The sequence below is a fragment of the Homo sapiens genome, chromosome 12, assembly GCF_000001405.40.
Source record: "Homo sapiens chromosome 12, GRCh38.p14 Primary Assembly".
Taxonomy (NCBI): Eukaryota; Metazoa; Chordata; class Mammalia; order Primates; family Hominidae; genus Homo; species Homo sapiens.
Window position 1 is genome coordinate 66,890,536 of NC_000012.12, and position 9,781 is coordinate 66,900,316.

Here is a 9,781-nt window from a genome sequence, read left to right on the forward strand (position 1 = left end):
TACTTGTTAGTCTGGGTGTCAGAGAAAGATGACACAACATTCGAAAGTACTACAGCTGCAACTAAATACTATTCTCTGCTCAGTATCAAATAGTTAGCATCAGGGAATATAAAATTAGGGGAAAAAAGAATAGATAAAATTTTAATAAATGTAAATAATCATAACTGGAACACAAATGAGTTTATTATACATACTGATGGGTTAACCATCTTTAGATCTGAAAAAGAAATTATCTGCCTAAAGAAGAATTTTAGCAAGAGGGTAGAGAATGTGACAGGGTAACAGGTGTGCTGTGTCTAGAAAGAACTTCATTAATGCCAGAATTGAAACACAGGCTGTGGATCTTTTATCTTGCAGGATCACCAGTGGATGCTCAATGACTTTATGAGGTCTTCCTCAGAGACTTAACATCACAGAGAACATATGGATTTGAAAGGGAAATGGGGAAAGTAGTAAAGTGTTGCTATATTTTAATGTTATTCTAAAATTACATAGTGCATTTAAACAGCAATTTTATAATTGTTATAAAGTAACTAGAAGTCATGTATACTTCAATAAGGAATTTGTCTTAATGAAGTAAAAGTGAAAAGATCTCAAAGCAAGGTAAAGCTTTTATATTTTTTTCCACCATGAAGATTTAGTCCATATTTAGACAAGCACTAGCAAAAGTCCCAACCATTTTGGAGATAATGTCAAGAATGATTAAAATTCATACAAGGCCTTGCATAGCCTTACTATGAAATATTAAGTAGGTTGCAGTTGGGACTCAATGGTCCAGAACCTCTCAAGGGCTCAAGTTTTGCGTATCAAGAACCTAGCAGAGCAGCTACCCCTGGGAAAATGTTCATATCTGGCCACAAAGCACATACTTTCAGAAGGATGGGACAGTGGATGGCCTGGCTGCAGTCAGGAAGTAACAAGAAAGGATTTCTCTCCCATCTGAAGGTTGCACCAGAAGGATGTGGGCTGATGTGGTGATTTTAGAATGATGACCGAAGAATACAAAGTAGAAGAGGAGTATCTGCATCCTCCTCATCACAGGGGCTAAACACTGGGAGGGATGAGCCTCTGTTTGGTGTTTCCCTCCACAGAGCATTGAGGTAGCCATGCTCCTTAAAGACGACAAGGATAAAAACCATAAAATTAAATCAGTAGGAAGAAAAATGCTTTGACATGGAGATTTCCTTCCTTCTCTCTCATGGGAAAGTACCTTGAGAAAGAGCTGACAGATGAGGAGATGCCATTAGAAAATATGACTGAGGCAAATTCTTCCCCTATAAGGAGGAAAAGGAATTCGAAGCCTCTTAAGAAAATTCCACCATGTTTCCTGAGACAGAGGAGTGAGAAGAGCAGACTATGACATACCTCCAGTGGGACATAGCGAGAAATTCCAGTTCAAACCAGACAGCAATCTTCTTCCTAATGGATGGGCAGAGGAAATACAGCTTAGATAGTAAAAATCAAGGGCCTGTGATGGCTCAGGGCAATCCTGGCAATAAGGAAAAAGAAACTCATGGCATCTCAGGGGAAGTAGCACCCACACTTGCTGTGAGGAGACACAAGGGCAGAAGTGGTGTCAGGGTGAGCACAGGTGAAATATGGGGTCCAGAGATGATAGTAGGGATGGTGACAGGGTAGTGACAGCTGGAGACTCTGGCTCTTAAAGTTGTCCCATTGCACAGCCTGGAAGGGACAGGTAGGAATTCCATCACCAATTCCACCTTGGTCCCAGCCACCATCATCTCTTACCTGGATGACTACAGCAGCCTCCTAATTGGTCTCCCTGCTTCCCCTTTGTCCCTTCAGTGTTGATTCAACATAACTTCCAGAGAGAACCTTTTTTAAAAAATGTTTTATTTAGAAATAATTTTAGACTCACAAGAAATGGCAAAAACAATACAGAGAAATTCTGTGTATCCTTCTCCCAGGTCTCACCAATGAGAGCAAGTTACATAACCATAGTACATCACACAGCTGGCATTGGTACAATACTTTATCTAAATGAGAGACCTTTTCAGGAGTCTACCACTCTTTTCATTTACTCACTTATATATATATATACACATATATACACATTTTTGCTATGAAATGTTATCACACATATGGATTTGTGCAATCATTATTACAATCAGGATACAAAACTGGAATGGATGTGGTAGCTCACACGTGCAATCCCTGCATTTTGGGAGGCCAAGGCAGGAGGACTGCTTGAGCCTACAACTTTGAGGCAAGCCTAGGCAACATGAGACCCCATCTCTACAAAAATTTCATTTTATTTTAAATAAGCCAGGTATGGTGGTGCACACCTGTGGTCTGAGCTACTTGGGAGGCTGAGTCGGGAGGATTGCTGGAGCCTAGGAGGTCAAGGCTACAGTGAGCCAAATAGCACCAATGCAGTCCAGCCTAGGTGATAGAGCAAGACGCTGCCTCATAAACAAAACAAAACAAAGACAAAAACAAAAAACAAAATGGATGCAGAACTGTTCCATCACCACAAAGAAACATCCTATGCCACTCATTTACAGGTATACCCTTCCCCAACCCTAAACCCCAACAACCACTGATCTGTTCTCCATCACTATGATTTTTCCATTTTGAACATGTTATATAAGTGGAACCATACAGTATAAAACCTTTTGGAATTGGCTTTTTTTTTCAGTTAGCATAATGTCCTTGAGATCCATGCAAGCTGTTAAATGTATTTGATATCTCTTTATTTTTATTATTTTTTGAGAAAGAGTCTGCTCTGTTGCCCAGGCTGAGTACAGTGGTGCGATCATGTTTCACACAGCCTCCCAGGCTCAAGAGATCCTCCCACCTCAGCCTCCTAAGTAGCTGGAACTACAGGTATACACCACCACACCCGACTAATTTTTTTTCCTGCTAGAGATGGGGTCTCACCATGTTGCCCAAGCTAATCTAGAACTCCTATGCTCAAGCAATCCTCCTGCCTTGGCCTCCCAAAGTGCTGGGAATACAGGTGTGAGCCACTGCACAAGGCTGTTTTTATTCTTGAGTAGTTTTCCATCATACTGATATACCAAAGTTTGTTTTTCCATTTACCCATTGAGCACTGAAAGACATTTGGGGTTATTTCTGATTTGGGACTATTACAAATAAAGCTTTTATGAACATGAATACATAAGATTTTGTGCAAACATACATTCTTATTTCTCTAGGATAAATACCCAGCAATGTGATTGCAGAGTCAAAGGGTTAATGTACGTTAAACCTCATTGGAAATTGCCAAATATTTTCAAGATCATTTTAAATCAAAGGTCATGTTAAATCACCTCTTATTCAAAACCCTCCAATGGTTTCAGCATCTTACTCAAACCAAAAGCCAAAGTCTGTCATTCAGTCATCCCAAAGACCCTATACAACCCAGCCCCTGATCCCGCTCTAGCTTCATCTCTATTCCTCTTCTCCCTGATCATCCAGCTCCAGCCACACTGGTCTCCTTTCTACTCCTCTCACCAGCCAGGCCACTCCCAACTCAGGGCCTGTGTACTTGCTGCTCCTTCTGCCTGGAATGCTCATCCCTCAAAAGTCCACATGCCTTGCTTCCTCATCCATAAGGTCCAGCCTTTCAACTAAAGTACCTCCCTTTCCTGTTTTATTTTATCCAGAAAGGACACATTTAAAAGTCTTTCTCCAATATCTTCTGTAAGTACCCATTGGGGTTCATGGAGGAAAGCCCTAGAGAGTACACGCACTCCCACAATTCTGTCTCTCCTCAGGTTCTTCAGTTTCCTATCAGTTCACTCTCAGCCTCCATCAATTTACCCAACAGCGTCTACCCCCTACCAAGCCAGCATGTGTGTCTTGTCTCTTTCTGGAGGCCCCATTCTCTTCTTAGATTCTGAGTCAGTTGGTTGTCCTACAACCAAGGTCCTCTATGAGTTCCAGACAATTCATAACTTATAGTTTGATACACTTTTTAATTTTTGCATTATAAGAATAGAAACAATGCTCCTTCTAGCTGCCTATGCCCCAGGAGGAAAGCCAGGGTCTTCTGTATCCCAGTGTGTGCTGAATGATGTTCTATGATCACTGGCCCTGACACATTTCCCTGACTTTGCCTTCCAAGGTCCTCATATGCCCAGGACTGCCAAGGCTCCTGAGCTAATCATGAAAATGGCAAGAATTAGATCAGAAGACACAAACTGCCTCCCATACACAGACTTAGGAATTAAATTGTGCTGTCAATCAGACCCTGCAAGGGACAAGCAGTAGAGGTCCCTCAGGCCTTCCAATGGCAACTTTTCCAGTTACTGTGTTGAAACATTTTTTTCCATAATCTTTGTGGACATGCTGACCAATAACTTTGACTCCTTGTAGGACTAGAACCCTAGCCAAAGACCCATCTAAGCCCCTCTCTCAGGGTCTTGCTGCCATCCTCCGGTCAGTGGTTGCCATGCTGCTGTGAAGAAGCAGGTGCCTCTGCTGTGGATTAGCTATGCCTGACTTTGCACTCTGTGCTCCACCTGGAACCCCCAATGTGCCAGATTGTCAGCCTCTGGTACCATGTGCCAGATTGTCAGCCTCTGTTACCATGAACTGCCTTCACCACACCCATTCTTGGGATAGGTCTGTGGATTGTTCAGATGCCCTTTGATATGGTTTGGCTGTGTCCCCACCCAAATCTCATCTTGAATTGTAGCTCCTATAATCCCCACATGTCATGGGAAGGACCTGGTGGGAGGTAATTGAATCAAGGGGGTGGGTTTTTCCCATGCTGTTCTCATGATAGTGAATAAGTCTCACAATATCTGATGGTTTCATAAAGGGCAGTTCCCCTACACACGTTCTCTTGCCTGCTGCCATGTAAGATATGCCTTTGCTCCTCCTTTGCCTTCCACCATGATTGTGAGGCCTCCCAGCCACGTGAAACTGTCAGTCCACTAAATCTCTTTTTCTTTATAAATTACCCAGCCTCAGGTATCTCTTGTAGCAGTGTGAGAACAGACTAATGCACCCTTATAGTAGTCAACTGTCACAGCCTCACTTGGTCTGGATCCATTCTCTCCCCTTGTTTCTACCTGAGCCCTGTACTGAGGTATGGGTAATGTTCTCTACTGGGCACCATTAACAAGCAGAAATGAGATTTGATTAGCAACCACTGCCTTATTCAAGAATTTCTCCCCAAAGGTAAAGCTGGCCGCAGACCCACCACTACCTCCTGCAGTTAATGTAACCAGTGGTACTGGTTTACTTTCATATTAATGTTCATTTACCAGAAGATGAGGAAGTTATATACACTCCATAGTACACTGTGTTTCTTATCATATTTTTAAAAGCAACACTAATACATTTTTGTTACTAGTTTAGCCTAAATAATAAATGTGTTTAAAACTCAAAATGACTATGGCCACTTCTTATATCAGAGGGGAAAGTTAAAATTCCTGTCATTGAGAAAAAAGTCACTGCCAGTTCTGCTATACTGGTAAAGAATCAATGGTCATTTTGTTTAGCAAGATATTAACAAATTTTTAGACAAAGGCAGGCATGAAGTCAAATAAGGAGTTGCCAGCTAGACAACTGTGCATAAAATGCGAGAAAAACTGTATTTAAAGTATAGCTAGAACTGGAGCAGGATGAAGCTGCAAGAGACTGGAGCTTGCTACAAGGGTGACCTAAGAGAATTCTGTGATGGGATGACTGGAGGACATTTAGAAACAGAAAATTCTAAATTCAGTTTGAGGTTGTGTTGTGGTGATGGAACTGCTAACTGATCCCTGTTGCCCCAAACATTCAATAAAGTCTGTTATACCTAAAAATGCCTTGTGTGTGTGCAATCCACAGGGAAGTCTAGGAGGAGAAGGAAGCCAGGTATGGGTCACTATGGAGCATAGGGAAGCAGATGGCAAGGGAGATCAACACTTCAATGGGAACTGAAAGTCAAAGTCAGAGTGACTGTGAGAATATTACCTCTGAGGAATTTGAAAAAAAAAAAAAAAACTTTGGTGGGCCTGAATGCCCCATTGGATGTAGAAAAGAGGGTTTTTGTCAGTGTTTTGTGAATCCAGTCAAGAAGGGCTTCTAAGGTGTCATCTGTGATATGCTTTTGCATATGAATGGCTACCCCTTCCAGAGATGTGGTTGTGGTATAAGTTAATGTCATGGTGACATAAAGAAAGATGTGAAGGGGTTAAAATACTGCTGCAAAGAACAGCTCTGGCAGACTGAAGAATAAGTCAGGAAGCTGTTTTTAGAATCAAGAGAGTTCTAAGTTAACCAGCCATAATAAATTCTGTATTCGAAGTTAAGTGTCACGAAACAAGAATTAAGAAGATAGCTTGGCAGTTTTCTGGTTCCAAGATTTCAAAAACATTCCCATGATAAAGGAACAAATAATTAGAATGTGTCAAGGCATTTTCCAGACACTCTTCCGAAGACCTGTTCCGAAGGCAACACGAAGCTGCTCTGAGAGGCAGTGTCACACAGTGGTTACACGTGCAGGCTCGGGAGCCAGTTTGCCTGAGTCCAAGTGCTAGCTCAGCTGTTTGCCAGCTGCGTGCTCCTGGGTATGTTGCTTATATTTGCTGTGATTCCATTTTCTTATCTATAAAATGTGAACAATAATAAACAGTTAGAAATTCACAGTGTTGTCGGGAAGATGGCATGAATCAATGCATGGGAAGCACTTAGATGGGCACCCACCACCCAGGAGGCACTCGGTATGTGTCAATGCTCTTTTCATGAAAGAGCTATAAGCGCTCACTGAAAGTGCCCTAAAGCCCTGCCCCAAGAGCTAAGAATCACACTCCCCTACTTAGGGAGAAAGCTTAAGGTCACAGTTTTGGAGTCTTCCATGGAGGTGAGAATCAAGACAGAGCAACTTTCAGAGTTTCTGCCTCCTTATTAGCCTCTGAAAATACAGAAAACTCCACTAGTTTAACAACTGCACATGCTATAATACCATTTAGGTCAGAAAAATACAATGTTCCCTTAATTAAGACCCAGAGGTTACAGCTGAGGAAGGCAATCAGCCGCTTCAGAACATATGCTTCAAAGACCAACCTACAAATGCATGGGAGGCAGTCATGATGGTGGCGGATGAGCTAAACAGACAAGGGTTTTCTCTAAATAGAGATTTTCACAAACAGTTGATGAAATGGCAGTACACCAGGTAACAGATCCAATTATGGCAAAACAGGGGAAATTAACGCTATGCCTCAGGCATACCGTGTTTAGACCAGTGATTTCTTTTTGTGAATTCTAATATGTATTTTTTACTGTGATTTTGAAATACCTTTCTAATGTTTCCTTGTTCAAGATGTAAGTGTGAATCCAAACACATGCATACACACCAGTTATGGCTTTGTAAAACCAAGTAATAATAATCCGCCACAAATTGCTAGGATCCATTTTTCAATAAAAAATAAAAGCCAAATCCTCGCAAAACAAAGAAAAATAATCAGTACTGACAAGAATACATTGCCTAACCTGTGTACTGTAAAATCTCAAGCAACAGTACAGTAGTTAAAGGGGAAAATAATGTTTATTTATCACCTTTATCACCTAAATGCGTGTCCAAATACTATGTTCCACATTCCCCAAAAAATCTACAAAGTGGAGGAATTTTTAAGATCCTTTTATTTATGTTAGCCGAGGCAAGAACTGAGATTCAAAAGCAGTTCTGTCTGAGTTCAAAGCCTGTGTTGTGCCCACTACACTAATATCCCGAGACACAGAGTCCTTAGCCTTCCTCAGGAACTGGTTATAGCTTATGGCATTTTTTTCTTTAATGATGCTCACTCCTAAGAAATGTTTCCTAATATTTAATCTAAATCCCTCTCTTCTCTTCCAGTTTAAACAATTCCTTTTATTTGTGTCCTCGATGGGGAGAGAGAACATTGGTCAGTGTCCTCCTTAATAACAGCTCTTTAACAGTTATTAAATTGCTTCTACTCCAGGCTAAATGCATCCAACTCCTTTAACCTTTTGTTAAAGGGCCAATTTTCTAACCTATTGATAATTGCATTTGCTCTTCTCTGGACCTTTTCCAAGCTCTGGATGCTGCCCTCAAAATTCATATATATACACTCCTCTTATCATGAAGAGCCTATGCCAAGTAAAGCTAAAATAATCCTTCCCAGTTCTTTCATAAGAGAAAGAGATTCTTAATTTTAATAAAAGCTTTATTTTGTTAGGATATTCGTTAGCAATTTACAATCCCTTATCGTTACAGATTTCTTTTTATGACACTCTTTCCTAGTCCAGCTTGTGCCCAATGTAGTGTGTTTATTAGCAACAATTACAATAACTACCTTGAAATTACTCTCTAAAAACATGCCAAGTGCTTTGATGCCTAGAGGGATAGCAGCCTGTGCTGACAGGGATTGAGTTGTTGAACAGGAAAGTTTATGTAAGGCCTCAACACCAAGGATCCTGGCAGTAGCAAGAAGAAACAGAGCATTATGACAGAGCATGCATGTGACAGCATCAGTATCTTCTTACAGCAGGGGCATGTAGCACAGAAAGGGATCAGGTTGTCTTGTTTTTCTGGTGTTGTATCCCTAGCGCTTCTCTTTGCATTTCTGCCTGGGTAACTCACTCTAATTTCTCAATTTATGTCCATATTGCTTCTTGGATCACTCTTTTAATTCACCCCAGACTGAACTTGATCTCTATCTTCTTTGACATTAGCAGTCCCATAGAAAGTTGCAGGAAGGCAAGTAAGAGTACCCAGGTCCAATAAAGGCTTAAAGGGAGCTCTCTCATTCACTAGTCAATGAAACACTCATTCAGTGAAATGCTGCTGTCAGGACAGAATGTACTTCCTGTAGACATCATTGGAAAGAAACTGTTCCTGTCCCATGTGAAAAAAAATTTTTTTTTTTGAGTCAGGGTCCTGCTCTGTCACCCAGGCAGGAATGCAGTGGCACGATCATAGCTCAGTACATTCTCAAACTCCTGAACTCAAGTGATCCCCCACCTCAGCCTCCTGAGTAGCTAGGATTACAAATTCACGCCACCATACCTGGCTATTTTTTTTTAATTTTTTATAGAGATGAGGTCTTGCTATATTGTCCAGGCTGGTTGAAAACTCCTGGCCTAATGCAATCCTCCCATCTTGGCCTCCCAAAGCACTGGGATTACAAGCATGAGCCACTGCATCCAACCCATGTGAGATTCTAACCTCATACAACTCATCTTTTGCTATGGGGTAGATACTAGACTTCAATTGCTCATGCATGCAGAACTACTCTGTCCTATACTTCTCTATCCCACAACTACTGCAATGAGTGCTGCTGTGAAATGTCTCTGGGCCTCTTTGAAAATCTCCATATTCACAGGAGAACAAAGAAGGGAACAGCAGAAATAGCTGTGAATACATTCTCCATTCTTGGGCAGGACCAGTCTATATATGTGATTTTCAGGCAGGCACTTCCTGCCTGAAAATGTCCTCTTGAATGCTAGCAGAAATAGCTGTGAATACATTCTCCATTCTTGGGCAGGATAGCATATGTGATTTTTAGGCAGGCACTTCCTGCCTGAAAATGTCCTCTTGAATGTTAGAAATAAGTGGAAAAGGAGGAAATTAGAGTTGGGAGAAGTAAAGAGATTGGTGAAGCAGGAATAGATGTTTTTGTATTACAGTCATGGAAAAGGTAAAGAAAATAGTATCAGGTGTGATTAGGCTTGTCTGTATATAATAGAAACTCCCAATATGTGGCTTAAACAAGACAGGTTTGTTTCCTCTTCAGATAAATGAAGTAGAGATGTAAGCATTTGTTATGAATGTCTGTACCCCTCCAAAATGCAAAAGTTGAAA

The 9,781-nt window shown here is 41.2% G+C and overlaps 1 protein-coding gene across 7 annotated transcripts in view; it reads right to left on the reverse strand.

The window, feature by feature from the left end:
• Positions 1–9,781, reverse strand: part of GRIP1 (glutamate receptor interacting protein 1) — a 721,908-nt gene that overhangs the window by 543,105 nt on the left and 169,022 nt on the right. The window lies entirely within an intron of this gene.